At 36.5% G+C, this 19,320-nt stretch overlaps 1 protein-coding gene across 6 annotated transcripts in view; it reads right to left on the reverse strand.

Moving 5' to 3' along the window:
• RSPH3 (radial spoke head 3) overlaps positions 333–19,320 on the reverse strand; it is a 37,223-nt gene continuing 18,235 nt past the window's right edge. For 3 of the 6 annotated variants that reach the window (NM_031924.8, NM_001346418.1, XM_047419393.1), the window contains 3 exons: positions 18,127–18,289; positions 15,613–15,699; positions 10,224–15,201 (listed from right to left, as the gene is read on the reverse strand). In NM_031924.8, coding sequence (NP_114130.4) covers positions 14,891–15,201; positions 15,613–15,699; positions 18,127–18,289 — 561 coding nt within the window. In that variant the 3' untranslated portion in view covers positions 10,224–14,890. Of the gene's footprint in view, positions 9,947–10,223; positions 15,202–15,612; positions 15,700–18,126; positions 18,290–19,320 lie in introns of those variants that run through there. The other 3 variants (XR_001743670.3, NR_144434.1, XR_001743668.3) reach the window with 2 other exon arrangements.

Below are 19,320 nucleotides of genomic sequence, written 5' to 3' on the forward strand. Positions count from 1 at the left end.
TCTGTCCACTCTCCAATTCACTGATGTAGTTGCTTTGGTATTATGTCCAGTGTTTATAGATATTTTCTGTTGGGACTCCTCCAGTTGGGTCTTGTTCTGTCATTACTGGAGGTGAGGTGAAAATTCCTACTATTTATCTTTTAGCATAAAAGATGTGTTATTAAAGAAGGTAAAATCCAACTTACTCAGATTCCACTGACATTGATGGGAGTGTAAAAAGTTGGTACAATCTTTCTTTTATCATCAATATATATCAAGAGCCTAAAAATGTTCATTATTTGACCTAGTAATCTCACTTGTAGGAATCTGCCAAGGAAAGATTTAAAGACACATTTATGATTGAAAATGTTGTTTATAATTTTAGAAGAGTAAAAAATTAGGAAAGCTTCAATGACCAGCAGTAGGACATCATTAAATCAATAATTGCACTTTAGGTACTATCTGTAAGGAATACTGAATAATATGAAAAACACAAAATATATTTAATGATAAAAACAGAAAATAAAATTATATTCATCATCCCAATTTTATGGAATTACAAACATATACATAAAAAGACTGAAAGGCAATGTTATAAGTGATAATTCTTACTCAATTTTGGTGGTGAAATTAGGAGAGATCTTTTTTCTTTTTCATAATTTATCTCCTTCCTCTCTTCCTCCCTCCCTCCTCTCTCTTTCCTTCCTTCCTTCTCCTTCCTTCCTTTCTTTCTTTCAGATAGGGTTTCACAGTCTTCCTTCCTTCCTCCCTCCCTCCCTCCCCCCTCCTTCCCCCTTCCCTTCCCTCCCCCTTCTTCCCCCTTCCCTTCCCCTCCCCTCCCCTCCTCTCCCTTCCCTTCCCTTCCCTTCCCAGTCTCTTTCTCTTTCCCTCTTTCTTTCTTTCTCCTTCCCTCCCTCCCTCCCTTCTTTCTTTTCTTTCTTTCTTTTTCCCTTTTCTTTTTTCTTTTCTTTCTTTTGATAGGTTTCACAATGTTGCCTAGGCTGCAGGGCAATGGTGCAATCATGGCTCAACAACTCACTGCAGCCTTGACTTCCCAGGCTCAAGCAATCTTCCCACTTCAGCCTCCCAAGCAGGTGGGACTACAGGCATGTGCCACCAAGCCAGGCTAATTTACAAAATTCTTTTGTAGAGACAGGGTCTCACTCTGTTGTCCAGGCTGGTCTCAAACTCTTGGGCTCAAGCAATCCTCTTGCCTTGGCCTCCCAAAGTGCTGGAATTATGCCATAATTTCTAGTAACTTCCAAATAGCCTCAATAAAATAAAATGGAATAAATAACAATGAAAACAATTTTTAACAGCCATAGATCCCAAAAGTGATATACTAGAAAGTAAATTTTCTACCCCTCCTCTTACCCCTGATAAAAATAACTTTTCCTAGTTATCAGGAATCATTAATATATGTACCCTATTCAAACAATGAGGGAGGTATGGACAAATGTTCCAAGACTTTTGGGTTCCACAGACCAATAACTTTTCAAAAACAATTTTAAGAATGGACAATTAGGGGAAAAAATTCTGAACAACTACTCTTTATTATCTTTAATTTCTCACACCACCCTCTCCTCTAATATAATCTCAGAATAAAGGACAGTTCTTTAATTGGGAAAAACTTATAGTATTGTCTTTATTTTTCAGTTTTTGCCATGGATTGATAGTTTTTGTGGACTGAATCAAATCTAAGGATCAATGGGATTAGATGGATTCTCAAGTCTTTTTCTGTATTGTGATTGTATGGTCTTCAACTCATTTTTAGGACCTGGAGTCCAGATGTGACCAGTGTCATGTCATAAATCATTAACTTTATTTGCTTGAATGAGTGTTCCAATTTCTCCTCATCCTTAATAACTAGTTATTGTCTGTCTTTTTAAATTTTAGCCACCTTAATGGGTATGAAGTAGTTTTGATTTGCAATTCCTTAATGACTAATGTTATTGAACATTTTCCATGTGTTTATTGGCTATTTGTTTAAATTCTTTAGAGAAATGTCTCTTTAAACCCTTTACTCATTTTTAAAATAGGTTGTCATTTTATTGTCGAGTTGTAATTCTTTGTATATTCTGGATAATAAATTCTTTGTTAGATATATGCTTTGATAACATTTTCATCCATTCTCTGAGTTATCTATTCACTTTCTTGATGGTGTCCTTTGAAGCACAAGTTTTAAATTTTGATGAAATCCAATTTATCTTTTCTTCTTTCACCATTTGTGCTTTTGATGTCATATATAAGAAACCATTGTCTAATCCACAGTCACAATGTTTTACTGTTATGTTGTCTTGAGTTCTAGCTCTTACACTTAGGTCTATAATCTATTTGGAGTAAATTTTTGTAAATGGTGTGAAGTGGGATTTGACTTAATTCTTTAGCATGTGGGTATCTAGTTGTTCCATTACCATTTATTGAAAAGATCATTCTTCCCTTATTGAATGATCTTGAACATATGTCAAAAATTAATTGACCATAGATGTATGGATTTATTTCTAGACTCTGTAGTATTCCATTGATCTATATTTCTATCCTTATCCCTTACCACACAGTTTTGAATACCGTAGCTTTGAAGTTGGGAAGTGTGAGTCCTATAATTTTGTTCTTTTTCAAGATTGTTTGGCTACTAAGGTTTCCCTGTAATTCAATATGGGTTTTAGGACTGGCTTTTCCATTTCCGTAAAAAAAGTCTGTTGGGATTTTGATTGGTATTGCATTGAATCTGGAGATCACTCTGGGGAGTCCTGCCATCTTTACATCATTAAGTGTCCCAACATGAATATGTAATGTCTTTCCATTTATTTAGGTCTTCTTTAATTTCCTTCATGAGTGTTAAGTAGTTTTCAGTGTACTGTATAAGTCTTGCATCTCTTTGGTTAAATTTATTCTTAGGTATTTAATCCTTTTCAATGCTTTTGTAAATGAGATTGTTTTCTTAATTTCCTTTCAGATTGTTCATTGCCAATGTATAAAAATGCGATTTTTATAAACTATTGATTTTGTGGTCTGCAAACTTGCTGAACTCATGTATTACTTCTAATAGTGTTTTCATAGATTGCTTAAAATTCTGCAACTAAAGATATTTTAATTTTTCCTTTCCAATCCGGATGACTTTTCTTTTTCTTGCCTAAATGCCATGACTAGAACTTCCAGTACAATGTTGAATAAAGTGGCAAGATAAGGTGTCTTTGGCTAATTCCTGATCTTATAAGGAAAACATTCAATCTTTCACCGTTAAGTATTATGTTGTGGAATTTTCCTAGATGCCTTGTACAGGATTGAGGAAGTTTCTGTCTGTTCCTAATTTTGTTGACTGTTTTTAATATGAAAGTGTGTTGAATTTTGTCAAATGCTGTTTCTGCATCTATTGAGATGATCATGTGGTTTCTGTTATTATATTAATATGGCATATATTCTTTTCTTTTAATTTTATTTTTTAAACTCTTATTTTAGGTTCAGGGTACATGTGCAGATTTGTTATATGGGTAAACTTGTGTAATGAATATAACATATTATATTGATTGACTTTTGGATTTCACAACCTTATATTCCTTGGATAAATCCCACTTGGTCATCCTTTTCGTATGTTGCTAAATTCAGTTTGCTAGTATTTCACTGAGGATTTTTGCATTTATATATTTAAAGGATATTGGTCTACAGTTTTCTTGTGATGTCTTTGCCTGATTCTGGTATTAGGGTAAACTGGTCTCACAGAATGAGGTGGGAACTGTTCCCCTCTTCTTTTTCATAGTTTGTGAAAGTTTGACCTTAATTTTTCTTTAGATGTTTACTAGAATTCATCGGTGAAGCTGTCTGAGTCTGGGGTTTCCTTTGTGGGAAGTTTCAAAAATTAATAATCCAATCTCTTTGTTACAGATCTATTCAGGTTTTCTATTTCTTTTTGAGTCAGTTTTGGTAAATTGTATCTTTCTAGGAATTTGTCAATGTCATCTAAGTTATTTAATTTGGTGGCCTACAGTTGTTCATAATATTCCCATAATAATCTTTATTAACGTAGGGCTGGTAAAATATCATTTCCTTCATTCCTAATTTAATAATTTGAGTGTTCTTATTTTTTCTTGGTCAGTTTAGTTTTGGGTTTGTCAATTTTGTTAATCTTTGCAAAAAAAAACCAAATTTGTGGTTTTAGTGATTTTCTCAATTGTTTTTCTATTCTCTATTTCATTTATTTCTGCTCTAATCTTTATTATTTTCTTTCTTCACTGGCTTTGCATTTATTTTCCTCTTCTTTTCGTTTTTTAAGGTGGGAGTTTAGGTTATTGATTTAGGATGTTTCTTCTGTTTTAAATATAGACTTTCAGAGTTATAAATTTCTGTCTAAGCATTGCTTTAGATGCATCCATAAGTTTTGGCATATTGTATTTTTTTTTTTTTAAAGACATGGTCTCACTCTGTTGACAAGCTGGAGTGCAGTGGTATGATCATGCATCACTGTAGCCTTGAACTCCCTGGGCTCAGATGATTCTCCTATCTTAGCCTCTCAAGTAGTTGGTACTACATGCATGTACCACCATGCCTGGCTAATTTTTGTATTTTTTTTTGTAGAAACAGGGTTTTGCCAGGTTGCCCAGGCTGGTCTTGAACTCCTCGGCAATCCACTCACCTTGGTTGGGATTACAGGCACGAGCCACAGCATCTGGCCTATTTCTGTTTCTATTCACCTCAAATTACTTTCTAATTTTTCTATGATTTCTCCTTTGAACCATTTATTATTTAGGGGTATATTGTTTAATTTCCACACATTTGTGAATTTCCCAAACTTCTTTTTATTATTGACTTCTAACTTAAATGTATTGTGATTGGAGAACATACATTGTGCAATTTTCACTATTTTAAAATTTACTAAGGCTTATTTTTGGTCTAACATAATCCTGGAGAATGTTCCATGTGCACTTGAGAAGAATGTGTATTCTGTTGTTAAGTACTTCTATAAATGTCTAAGATTAATTAGTTTATAATATATTTCACATCATTTTTTTCTTTGCTGATCTTCTCCTTAGTCTATCCATTATTGAAAGTGGGGTTTTGAAATATCTATTGCTTTGAGTTGTCTAATACTCCCTTTAATTCTACCACTTTTTGCTTCATGTATTTTGGAGCCCTGTTGTTAGGTGCATATGTGTTTATAATTGTTGTCTTTCTGAAGATTGACCTTTTTATCATAAAATACATTTCTTCACCTCTTGTAACTATTTTTATCTTAAAGTCCATTTTGTCTGAGATTAATGTAGCTACCCCAGCTCTTTTTTGGTTACTGTTTGCATGCCATATCTTTGTCCATCCTTTTATTTTCAACCAATTTGTGTCTTTGAATCTAAAGTGTGTCTCTAATAGTATTGTTGGGTTATTTTTAATAAAAACCCTCATTCTGGCAATCTTTGCCTTCTGGTTAGGGTGTTTAAGCCATTTACTTTTGATTAAATTACTGATAAGCTAGGATTTTAATTTACCATTTTGCTATTTGGATTTTTACATGTCTTATGTATTTTTTGTACCTTTATTCCTCCATTATTGCTCTCTTTTGCATTAAATGGGTATCTTCCAGGAAAAGCTTTTAATACTCTTGTTTCTTTTACTGTTTTTTATTTTTTATTTTTTTGAGATGGAGTCTCACTCTGTTGCCCAGGCTGGAGTGCAGTGGCATGACTTCAGCTCACTGCAACCTCCACCATCTGGGTTCAAGCAATTCTCCTGCCTCAGCCTCCTGAATAGCTGGGATTACAGGCATGTACCACCATACCTGGCTAATTTTGCGTATTTTTAATAGAGATCAGGTTTCACCATGTTGGCCAGGCTGGTCTTGAACTCCTGACCTCAAGTGATCTGCCCACCTCAGTCTCCCAAAGTGTTGGGATTACAGGTGTGAGCCACCACACCTGGCTATTTTTACTATTTTGTAAAAAGATACTTTCTTAGTAGCTGCTCTGGGGATTACAATTAACATCTTAATTTAAGACAATCTACTTCAGATTAATAGTAATCTAATTTCAAGAGTATACAAAAAGTTTTCTCTAGTATTATTCTGTTCCTTCTCCTTCCTTTGTAGTAGTATTATTATTTATTTATTTATTTACTGTGAAACAGAGTCTTGCTTTGTCACTAGGCTGGAGTGCAGTGGTGTGATCTCGGCTTACTGCAACCTCCATCTCTTGGATTCAAGCAATTCTCCTGCCTTAGCCTCCCGAGTAGCTGGGACTACAGGTGTGCGCCACCACACCCAGCTAATTTTTGTACTTTAGTAGAGACAGGGTTTCACCATGTTGGCCAGGATGGTCTCAATCTCATGACCTTGTGATCCACCCTACAAATTACATCTTTATACATTAGAAGCCCATTAATACAGTTTTATAATGATTGCTTTATGATGTAACTGTCTTTTAAATGACAGAAGAATTACAAAGAAAAGTAAATTTATACTATCAATTATATACATATATACAGTCTTTATTGGTGCTCCTTATTTCTTAATGTGGATTTGAATTGCTGTCTAGTATCCTTTCATTTCAGTATGAAGGACTCCCTTTAGTATTTCTTGTAGGGTAGGTGTGCTAATGACAAGTTCTCTCAGTTTTTGATTATATGGGAATGTCTTAATTTCTCCTCATTTTAAAGGATAGTTTTGCTGGATACAGAATTCTTGAATGGCAGTTTTTTCTTTTAGCACTTTGAATATATGATCCCATTGCCTTTTGGCCTTCATGATGTGGGATGAGAAGTCAGCTGTTAATGTTATTGAGGAGCCCATGTACATGAAAAGTAATTTTTGTCTTGCTACTTTCAAGATTCTATTTGTCTCTGTCTCTTGACAGTTTGAGTAGCATATGTCTAATTGTGGATCTCTTGAATTTCTCCTATATGGAGTTCACTGAACGTCTTGAATGTGAAGATCAACATTTTTCATCAAATTTAGTAAGTTTTCAAGCCATGATCTCTTCAGATATTCTGCCCCTTTCTCTCTTCTCTCCTCTCCTTCTGGGGATGTGTACGTTGATATGCTTGATGGTGTCCCACAGGTCTCTGAGGCTTTGCTCATTTTTCTTCATTCATTTTTCTGTTCCTCAGAGTGGATTATCTCAATGGACTTAACTTCAATTTCATGGATATTTTCTTCTGCCAGATCAAATTTGCTATTAAGGCCCTGAAGAAAATTTATCATTTCAATTATTGCACTTTTCAATGCCAGAATTTCTATTTGGTTCTTAAAAAATGTTTTTTCTCTCTTAACTGATATTCACATTTGGTGAGACATCTTTCTCATACTTACTTTAATTCTTTAGACATGGTTTTCTTTAGTTCTTTGAATATATAATAGCCAATTAAAGTCTTTGTCTAGTAAGTTAAAAATCTGGACTTCCTTGGGAACAGTTTCTATTGACTGCTTTTTCTGACTGCCATATGTTCCTATTTTTTGCCTGCCTTGTACTTTTTTCTTTTTTTTTGCTGAAAATTAAACACTTTAAATAATTATAATGTAGTAACTTTGAAAGTTATATTCTTGTACCACCCGTCCAACCTGGGTTTTCTGTTGCTGTTTGTTATTCTTTGTTTAATGACTTCTCTGGAAAAATTTTGTAAAATTTGTATTCTTTGTTGTGTGTGGCCACTGAAGTCTCTGCTTAGTTAGCTTAGCAGTCAGCTGATGATTAGAGATTTCCTTAAGTGCCCTGAACCAGTAAGTTTTCCATCCTTTGTTGAGTGGCTCTATAAGTGTTGGGCATGCCTTTACTATTTTGGCAGTTTATAGCTCTGTCTTAGCTTTCAATTCCTGGTTGTGCAGATCCTTAAGGTCAGTCAGAAGTGAGTGATTCAGGCCTTCTTAGCTCTTTTCTGGGCATGCATGCAGTCCTACACATGTACCCTATATGTAGTTTCCCGAGAATGTCAAAGCTTTTCTTTTTTTTTCATTTTTTGAGATGGAGTCTCACTCTGTCACCTGGGCTGGAGTGCAGTGGCGTGATCTTGGCTCACTGCAACCTCCGCCTCCTGGGTTCAAGTGATTCTCCTGTCTCAGCCTCCTGAGTAGCTGGGATTACAGGCACCCGCCACTATGCCTTGCCAGTTTATTTATTTTTTATTTTTAGTAGAGATGGGATTTCATCATGTTGGCCAGGCTGGTCTTGAACTCCTGACCTCGTGATTCACCTGCCTTGGCCTGCCAAAGTGCTGGGATTACAGGCGTGAGAAACGTGCCCAGCCAAATGTCAAAGCTTTTTAAAGCCCCTTATCACCACTGCACTCTCAAGACTTTCAATTTTTTTTTGCCAGTCTCTTATTTGCTCTACCTCAGGCAGCTGTGATGTTAAACAATTGCTGCTGCTTTTTGTTCTTAATGCCTTGATGTCAGGACTTTTGTCACTGAGAAAGCTCTGAGTCAGGTTAAATAAAGACATGCCTCTGTAAATGGGCTTTTCCAGAGAGCTGCCACAGATGCCAAGTAGTGACAACTGTCTGGAGATGCGGTTTTATTGTGGGGGTGGGGAGGCACCAAGCCTTTCTGCTCCTTTCAATAGCTCCTAAGCTTCTGTTTCTTGGTTACTGACTTTCAAGGCTACTGTGGAGTTGGGAAGAGCGGGATGGAAATAGGTCAAGTTAAAATGCCATGAAGCTTACTGTTCTTACTAAGATTCAATCATTTTTCTTTAATAAATGTTTGTCATTGTTGCAAGCCGTTGGTTAATTTCTAGAGTTCTGAAAATACTGATTTTGGCAATTCTGGCCTGCATTCACATTGCTTTTATGGAGGAACAGATTTTCAGAGATCCTTATTCCACCATTCCAGAGGTGCTTTGTCCATACACATTAATTTCTGTATTGTACTTTAATATAAACATGTAGTCAGGACATGCTGAAGAATACTCAATTTTTGCTCCAGACTGCTATACTTTTTGAGTTGCCTATTTTTTCCTGCCATTTCTCTTATGTTAGTGCTATGAGTTTTCCCACAGCAGTCCCTCTTCCCTGGTTAATGTTACATCTAACATATTGTAGGGTCAATAATGAAATAGCCTAGTTGGTTAGCAACATGTTAAGATAGGCTTGGAGGGTCCACTGCAAAGTCTGTTGACTTCGTGACATTGCAGCTGCTCAAAACTCATTTTGGCTTTTTCTCTCCGATGTCCTGGAAGATATGATTTCTAGGCATTTGAGTTTAGAGAAAGTGATTTGGTGATGGGTGATTGCCGAGTCAGATTACACCTATAGTTGTCTACCTAATTCTGGGAAACATGTTTTAACAGAAACTTTGACCAAATAGCCATTTAAAAGTAATAGTAACCAGGATGGTGAGTGGGGAAGTTCCAAAACTGTGCCATATGAGGAATAATTGGGAAGAGTGGTGAATCTCATTGGGAGAAAAAAAACTTGGGGGGGATAAAGAAAAATTTATTGGGGTACATGATAGGGCTGATATGGCAATAAAATCATTTTGTCTCCCTCTACCATAATCATGCCCTCATGATTATGACCAATAAGCAAAGGTTATAACAGGCAGGTTTTGAATCAGTATAGAGAAATTTCTAATAATGAGAACTGTCCAACAATGTTATTGGCTAAGCATCTACCATAGCCCAGGCCTGTGGAGACAAAACCAAGTAAGACAGAATTGCTATCTACAGCAGCTCATAAAGTGAAAACCTCATCCTTAAAGTGATGAAACAAAGACTAACTGACCATCTGTTAAGGATCCTGAATTAGATAGTGAAGTATGTGACAACTAAAGTCCACTCTAAAATGAACATTTTAAGAGTCTGGCACCCCTACAGAGCTGGCAGAGAACTTTAGGGCGAGATAAAATATTCATTGAGAGTCTAGAAGATTCCAAGGAATACAATATATTTTTGAACTGTGCTCACCAAGGTCTTTTATGGTCACGAAATTATGTATGAAGTTGGCAGCAAGTCAACCTTACCTTAGGGTTTCACTGACACCTAGTGGTTATAATCTAAAATGTTAAAAGACAACATACAATGATCACAAAAATGTTCGTATTTATAAAAATCATAAATGAATATAGTGATAAAAATTCATTCATTTTGAATTCTCTTTTCAAAAAGAAGTTAAAATTGCTTAAATGGCATCTTATATCTGAAATATTTTTATGCTAAAATTTCAAACTCTTTAACACTTGATTATAAGCAAGCCTATAATGCTATTAGCTTATCTTTTAACTCATATCTTTCAGTTATGTTATTCTCTTGTTTATGAAAAACAGAAGAACATCATCTAAATGATCAGTTTATTGAATTTTAGTAATGTAAGTTGAGATCATGAAACATACAATCTAATTCAAAAGAAGAATCATAGGTACCAATTCAACACCATTAGCACTACTTTCACAATAGTGACACCCCACTTATAACACTCTTTTTTGGGTCTCTGACTGTGAACAAGATTGTGGAAGGTTGGTTGAGGTTAGGCCTAGGCATTACGGTTAAGAAATAACAGATGCTAATTAGTTAGTGGGGAAGTGAAGCTCATGTTTAGGCCTTTTCATAATGTCTTTATGCTAAATAAATTAAATGAAGTAAACAGCCATGGCTATTGAACTACAGAATACATAAAAATACATTCTGTGATTCACCTATAAACAAAAGAGTAAAGCAGAATGTGTCAAATTTTCCATAGCAGGTAAAGCATAGAAAAAAAATCTAGCTGATATAGTTGTTATGTTTCAACAACATAAAATGAAATGTTTCTAGGATAGAAGAAATTGGTACCATTAACATTTGGATGGTTATGGTACCATAACATTTTGATATAATATGCAAAATGCTGCTTCCCCAACTATGACCGCCATTATAACTTTTAATGGAATTATAGGCTCCAAATACTTTCTTCTGCAAGTTACCCACCCTTTCATATGTTTTTAAAATGAAACACTAGACTGATAAATCAGTTCTTTTTCTTAATTTAAAAGAAAAAAGCTTTGAGAAAGGCAAACCCCCTTCTCCATGGTGAAGACTACATGCTTGCATGTGAGGACTCAAGCCCAGTGGTCTGGCTTTGAATCTGCTTTCAAACTCCACCTTGTGTTGCTCAGAGTGACTTTGCAGGCCACGCTCATAGCCCTCAGATGGCTTAAATGTAATGATGCCTATGCTAGAGAAAATTTCATTCTACCTCTCTGATCTATTTTAGTGATATGGGAATTTATGTTAAGAATGACAATTTCTTTTTCTTTCTTTTTTTTTTTTTTGAGACGGAGTCTTGCTCTGTCACCGGGCTGGAGTGCAGCGGCGCGACCTCCTGGGTTCAAGTGATTCTTATGCCTCAGTCTCCCGAGTAGCTGGGATTATAGGCATGCGTCACCATACCCAGCTAATTTTTGTATTTTTAGTGGAGACAGGGTTTCACCATGTTGGCCAGGATGGCCTCGATCTCCTGACCTCGTGATCTGCCTGCCTTGGCCTCCCAAAGTGCTGGGATTATAGGCGTAAGCCACCACACCCGGCCAGGAATGACAATTTCAATATATTTACTATCTGTTCTTCATTTTATTATTATTTAGCTTCTGTTAACTCAGTGTTAGCTGAAACATCAGAAAGAAATAAAACTTATGAGAAGGGTATTAGCAAATGTGTGAAAAAGTCAAGTACTGTTTATACTCCAAAAAGTATTTGGAGCTTATAATTCCTTTAAAAGTCATACTGAGGGTCATAGTTGGGGATGTAGCATTTTGCATATCACATCAAACTGTTATGATGGTCCCATAACCATCTGAATGTTAATAGTACCCATTTTCTTCTATGCTGGAAGAGTTTTATGTTCCCAAACCATTTGCAAAAGTTGCTTACAGTTATGAAAAGTCTTCTAGACATATGGAACCTAAGAATGCTATCTTGTAATTTCCCAGAAAGTCCTTCAGGTACTTGAAGAAATTCTTCATAAACTTTGTTTCCATTTAACATTCTTCTCTCCAGATAACATATAATGTGTTACCTCTAAGCTTTCTCACAGCGACAATGCCCTAACCTCTCAATTATTTTGATTTCTCTCTAGGATGGACTAGGATTGCAATTAAGCTTAACCAGTTCAGTGTGGGGTTTATAGATATCTACTTCTTTCAATAAATTGAATTAATTTATGGATTTATAGAGCATAGGTCTGGCATCTGCAAAGTGTTTAATGGACTGGATCATTCTAAAGGAGAATTAGAAGATTATGAAAGATAATCAACTTCAAATCAATTTTAAGGTTTTTTTTTTTTGAGAAGGAGTCTCACTCTGTCTTCCAGGCTGGAGTGCAGTGGCGCGATCTCGGCTCACTGCAACCTCCGCCTCCCGTGTTCAAGCGATTCTCCTGCCTCGGCCTCCTGAGTAGCTGGGACTACAGGTGCCCGCCACCACGCCTGACTAATTTTTGTATTTTTAGTAGAGACGGGGTTTCACCATGTTGGCCAGGATGGTCTTGATCTCCTGACCTTGTGATCCGCCTGCCTCGGCCTCCCAAAGTGCTGGGATTACAGGTGCAAGCCACCGTGCCTGGCCCAATTTTAAGGTTTCTAAAAGCTAGTTGTAGATATTTTAAAATTGGTAATAACAATAATAATCAGCAATAGCCCTAATTAAAAATTTTTGGTCTTCTTGCCAAAATTAATATCTTATAAATGTTAGGATGATCATAAAGACTGTTTAACAAGATGGAACCAGCCCCATGATGGATAAGAGGCGTGATTCCAATTTTTAAAATGCTATTAGTGCAATAATTTATTTTAAATTATTCTTTGTACCTCACAAAAACAGCAAGTTATTAGAAGAAAGTATACCAGATTAGAAGTAAGGAGATTTGGATTCCAGCTTTAGTCCTATTCCCTACTAGGCTCGTCATCTATTGCAAATCACTTTAAATTCCTGAGCTTTGGTTTCTTTATTTACATCATTTACTTCATTTAGCTCCACTGCTAGGCTGTAAAAAACATGTAGTATTCGTGACTGTTCACCGCTGTATCTGCAGTCTCATTCCCAAGGCAGAGCAGGCACTCAGCTAATGTTTGCTGGCTGACCGAATTAAGGATTAGAAACTAAAAAATACAAATATTGTCATGCATTCTTCAGAAGGTTGCCATGAGGCCTAAGTGTTATAGTGAAATACTATATGGGAAAATGGGTGCATTCTTTTAAAATTTTTTAAATGTGGATACATTCTTGGTACCTAACTTAAAAGAAATTAAGGTAAATGGGTTAATAATTATAAGTTATTTTAAATCACTACGTTTATATATGTGTAAGTATTTTGCGAAAAACAGACTCAGCCAGGTGCGGTGGCTCATGCCTGTAGTCCTAGCACTTTGGGAGGCCAAGGTGGGCAGATCACTTGAGCCCAGGAGTTGGAGACCAGCCTGGGCAACACAGCAAGAGCCCATCTCTACAAAAAATACAGTAACTAGCCAGACGTGGTGGTGCACACCTGTAGTCCCAGCTACTTGGAAGGCTGAGGTGAGAAGATCACCTGAGCCTGGGAGGTCAAGGCTGCAGTGAGCTGTGATGGTGCTGCTGCACTCCAGCCTGGGTGTCAGAGTGAGACCTTGTCTCCAAAAAATAAAAATAAAAATAAGTAAAAAGAAAAATAGGCTCTATTTATCTAAAGGCTCTGAAGACTTCAGTTATTGCTTACGATTAGGAAGGCTTTGGAGAGAAAATAACTTGTGATTTTAATACTGCAGGTAAATTCTCTAACACATTCAGATTAAAAAGTCAAATGTTAATTCCCTATGCTACAGCACAGTCATAATATGTAATACCTTAACCATATTTTGACAAGATAAGAGATTGATGCCACTAACCTTGAAAGATCTAAGACATTCTCTTAAGTGAAAAATAAAATATGTAAATAATGTTTATATTTATATAAAGAAAATCAAGCTATATATTTCTAGATTTTCAAATACATTTGTATAGGAATACCTCAAAAAAGGCCTAGATAGCTCATACCTGATAACAGTGATCTACCTTTGAGGAGGGGAGTGAGACTGTATGAGGGCAAACAGGGACTTTTGCTTTATTGGCATTGCCTGAAATTTTTTCATAGTAGGAATGTGAAAAAATAGATGAGAGCATATACTAATCCACTGAATTCCTTAAGCCTTACTTGAATATTGAAGATGGTCCTTGCAGGAAGGGAGCACTGTGGCTTTCAGTAGCACAACGTTTAGGCATTCTCTCTCTTTTTTTTCTTTTTTTTTTGAGACGGAGTTTTGCTCTTGTTGCCCAGGCTGGAGTGCAATGGTGCAAACTTGGCTCACCGCAACCTCCGCCCCAGGTTCAAGTGATTCTCCTGCCTCAGCCTCCCAAGTAGCTAGGATTACAGGCATGCGCCACCATGCCTGGCTAATTTTGTATTTTTAGCAGAGATGGGGTTTCTCCTTGTTGGTCTGGCTGGTCTCAAACTCCCGACCTCAGGGGATCTGCCAGCCTCAGCCTCCCAAAGTGCTGGGATTACAGGTGTGAGCCACCACGCCTGGCTAGGCATTCACTCTTACAGTAGGTGAAATAGTTTTCCTATAGAGAAGAAAAGCTATATGGCTGACAGCACTGATATTGAACATTAAATATCATACTTACTAAAAAAAACTAACCCGCAAAATTAGAAGGGCTAAGGAAAAATATATTTGCTGGTTACATATAATGGTAATAGAAAGCTAGTAATTAAATATAATTCTCATTAGAATTACAATATAGCCTTTGAATATTCTATTAAATAAATGAATTCAATTTAAGTTTCATTCTCAAATTAATTTTATCACATTTGATTGGCCCAGTCCATTACACAAAAAGACATACTGACTAAATACAACATAATTTCTATAACCTGAGGGGACTCGCACATCATTACCTGATTGCTTGCTGACTTGGCTGTTGATTGGTTTCATGACTTTGAAGCTTCCCTCCTATGACAATTCTTCCTCCCCTAAGGACTTCCTCATTGCTGTTTCTTCATCTTGCCCTAAGAGTTCTCTCTCTTCCATAAACTTCCTTTCCTGGGATGACCTTCTGTCATATGTTGTTCTTTGTAGGTAGCCTCCATCTAAAAGCAGCTCCCGTGTCTGTGACATGCTCTGCTCCAGGAATTCAGAGGCCTCCAGTGACTCTGTCATTGCTCCAGGACCACCAGGCTCATCCTCGGGTTCTGGAGACTGATGTGTGTCTTCCCCATGCTCATACATACACAGCCTCTTTTCAACCACCTCACGGATCAACACTGAAAAGTTAAATGTTCAGACATCACTATGATTTTCATATTATGGTATATTTCAGGAGTTATAATGCTCACTTATAGATGATTACAAAAACCTTCACGAAGCCTCATCTCTTTCCTATGTCATAACCTTTTTTGGAAGTCAGCATACTTCACACTTAATGCATTAAATATAAAATATATTCTGTTTTCACAGAGTATCATTTATAAAGTAATGGCAGAAGATATTAATAGATAGCAAATTATAGAAGAGCCAAAAATAATATTGAGGGTAAAAATTTGCACTTTTATTAATACAATTGATATACTAAAAGTTTAAATATTCAAACTGTAAAATTAATCTTTCTTTCAGTTATTCAATTTATTCTTTCTACTAAAAACTTTAGAGATGAATTTTTGGATAAAATAACTTACTGTCAAGCACTGTTCTTCCCACCATGCTATATTCCATGGTTTTTTCAACTTCATTCATTAGCCATGGAAGAAATCCTATCTCAATATCTGTAATAAAAGAATTCATTGATTTTCATGTATTATCAGAGGAATAATGCGCTTTTCTCTTAATGTAATAGACTCATCAACATTGGTTTCTTAATATAAAATGTTAAGTAGACTCATACAGCATAACTTTTGCCATATTCCTTATATATGTTCTGGTCAGTTTCCTTTCTGTTGCATAAGTGATTTTTTATTTTTATTTTTTTATTTTTTTTGAGACAGAGGTTTACTCTGTTGCCCAGGCTGGAGTGCGGTGGCGCGATCTCTGCTCACTGCAACCTCCGCTTCCCAGGTTCAAGTGGTTCTCCTGCCTCAGCCTTCTGAGTAGCTGGGACGACAGGCACACGCCACCACACCTGGCTAATTTTTGTATTTTTAGTAGAGACAGGGTTTCACCATGTTGGCCAGGATGGTCTCAATCTCCTGACATCGTGATTCACCCGCCTCGGCCTCCCAAAGTTCTAGGATTACAGGTGTGAGCCACCACACCTTGCCCAATATTTTAAGAACTATGAGGCCTTCCTTGGAGTCAAGGCATTTGGAGTTTCCTTCATAGGTGCAATCTGAGATGGATCAGGGAGGCAGGGGGAGGATGTGGGTTTGGGAGAACTCCAATCCAAATGCAATGCAAATCTGGGATTGAGCAATGCCAGTAAAAGAAAGTCTCCACCTGAAGCCCAGGGCCTAATGGAAGGAAGCTGATCAGACTCAGAGAATGCAGTGAGAGGGCATTTGAGGAGGCAGTCATCTAGAAATAGGTCAGAAACTAGGTGTTTCCATCAGTATCAAGTTTGTTCAAACTGAAATCTACTGTGTAAGCATTTTAAAAATATGGTCTATTACAATATACATTTTAAAGTTTCAAAATAGCATTTTTTGGGGCAGGCATCTAATTTTATTTTTCAATAGGATGAAATGGAGAGTGATAGAATATTATATTCACTACTATAAATAATTTTTATCTCAGGTATGAATTTCATTTGCAAGCTTTTAAATGATCTATAACTTACTTTTTTGGTAATCTGTGATAGAAAAAAGGCTACTGGTCTCTCTGGCTAACAGTTAGAGTCCAAGCTAGAGCCCAGGACAGCAGGATGATAGCCGAGAATGAACACTGGACTTGGAGTCTGAGTTCCAAGTCAGTTTGAGGCCTAATATTTCCACTGCCTGAGGATTTGGGAGCAAGGCATTTAACTTCTCTGAGCTTCAGTTTCTATTTCTGAAAAAATGGGAATTCTATCTGACCTGTCTATCCTACAGGGTTATTGAGAGTATCAAATGATATCACCTATGAAAAATACTATGTATATTAATAATATTTGTCTGTGATCTGACCTCTTTGTATTGAATTGAATATGTAATCAGTGAAAATTATCATTACTAACATGTGTCCCAAGATACTACTGGCCAACAAAATAGGACCTATACACCAAGCACGGTGGATGTAAGTGCTTTTCACTCTGAGGAAGGTGGGTGGTGGTGAGGACATGCAACTCTTCCTTTCCACTGGCTGAGCAGCTAGGAACGTGGACTTTGAGGGGATACAGACAGACAGCTATCAGGCTATGGGCTCCCTAGTGGCAGAGATCAGGGATCCTTCTTTTTCTCCAATACCAAACACTGCCTGGAAGAGGGTAAGCGCCTAACTAAATGAATAAATGACCTTGATAGCTGCCCTCAAAGGGTTTTTGATTTGAATAAGTCAGCTGAGAAAAAGTTAATAACAACTACTTACGCATACACAGGACTTTATAGTTTACACAGTTTCATATATTTTATGACTTAACTCCTAAATAATTCTCATTTCAGGCTGGGCACGAGTGGCTCACGCCTCTAATCTCAGCTCTTTGGGAGGCCAAGGCAGGCGGATCACTTGAGGTCAGGACCAGCCTGGCCAACATGGCGAAACCCCGTCTCTACTAAAAAATACAAAAATTAGCTGGGCGTGGTAGCAGGTGCCTGTAATCTCAGCTACTCGGAAGGCCGAGGCAGGGAGAATTGCTTGAACCCAGGAGGCGGAGGTTGCAGTGAGCCAAGATTGCGCCACTACACTCCATCCTGGGCAAAAGAATGAGACTCTGTCTCAAAAAAAAAAAAAAAAATTCCTCATTTCTCACATGAAGAAACTGGAGGTCATCAAGCTAGCTAATGATAAAGCTGCAACCCAAACTCAAGTTTTCAATACCAAGTCCATATTTCTTTCTACTATACAAATGTTGCTTCTCAATAAACAAATACTAATATCCTTAAATCAAGATCTTTAAAATATACATCTCATTAACAACTGTACTTACTTTAAACAACTAAAATTGACTTTGTGTCAGAAATAGAAAGACTCCAATTCAAAATAAAAATGGACATAAGATAAATTTGAACCATTAAGAGGATGCTTATTACAACAAAATTAATCTAACAAAAATATCTACAAACCTCTTTCAATGGGATCATAAAAGTAGCCACTATCCCTGAGGCTGCCAAAAACAGACGGGAGAAGGTCAGCCAGGTAACGCTGTGCAAATGCTCGGGCGGCGATTTTTTGTGATGTCTCGTTGTGCTTGTGCATTATTTCCCACTGCTGTTTCTTACGCCGTTCCTGCCAAGAACGACAGAGGTGGTTATTTAGCTCTTATGCCCTCCCCAAGTGCTGAATCTAGTGAAGTTAGTAAGTACAAGAATCCAGACTTATCAAAAAATGGACAGCGAGGTGTCTATCTATTAAAGGTTCATATTTTTCATCAAAAATTTAATGAATTTCAACAGCTAGTGGCTACTGAATTCAGGAAGTTATGAAAGATGGAATTTAAGGTAAAACATGTCACTATTCAAGTAAAATAATTTCAAGACATAATGCTTGACAGTATAGATGGTAGCAAAAAGATAATCACCATTATATGTATTTTAAATTAATATTATCATGAAATATTACTGGTAAGAAAAATTACCAGTGGGCCAATGAATGAGTTCATTTGTAATAATTCCCTGAATTTGTAAAGCTGAATGGTTCTGAAGATTATGAAAGCCTCTTATTTTTTGTTGTTGCTTCCTTTAGACCATGTAATATTTATAAAGGTGATGAATCCTGTTCTCTACTCTCATGTGGAAGTGGGAGCATTAATACGTTTTCTAATTAAATCTATTTTCAAACTTTAAACAAATATAAATCTAGGTGATTCTTGTATCCAGTTTTCCATAATATGTTTCCAAATAGTAAATAAACAAATATTTTTTGATAAAGACTTCACGACTCATTTCAACAAAGTTTATTTTGCCACAGTTTTTTTATATCTATAAATTTGCACAATCCTTATTGTAAGCCCTATGCTCTTTACACAACTAAGTATTCATCTTAGAATTAAAGTCCATTTGATAGGTATTGAGTAGGATTTCCCAACAATTATGCTACTTTTCACAGCATAGTAAGTTAGGCCCCTTGGGAATTTTTTCTTAACTGTTTCAGGTATTAAGATATGACTTTATAATTTGTTCATCAGTATACAACAAAGGCTGACAGTTATTGCCAGAACCAGAAAGACTATCTTTTCTAGTGCTTCCTAACTGTAGGCTACTGGCACATGTAAAAAAACTGGATTGTAAACCTTTCCTTATTGAAGATTCTAAAAATCT

Source organism: Homo sapiens, chromosome 6 (genome assembly GCF_000001405.40).
Source record: "Homo sapiens chromosome 6, GRCh38.p14 Primary Assembly".
Lineage (NCBI taxonomy): Eukaryota > Metazoa > Chordata > Mammalia > Primates > Hominidae > Homo > Homo sapiens.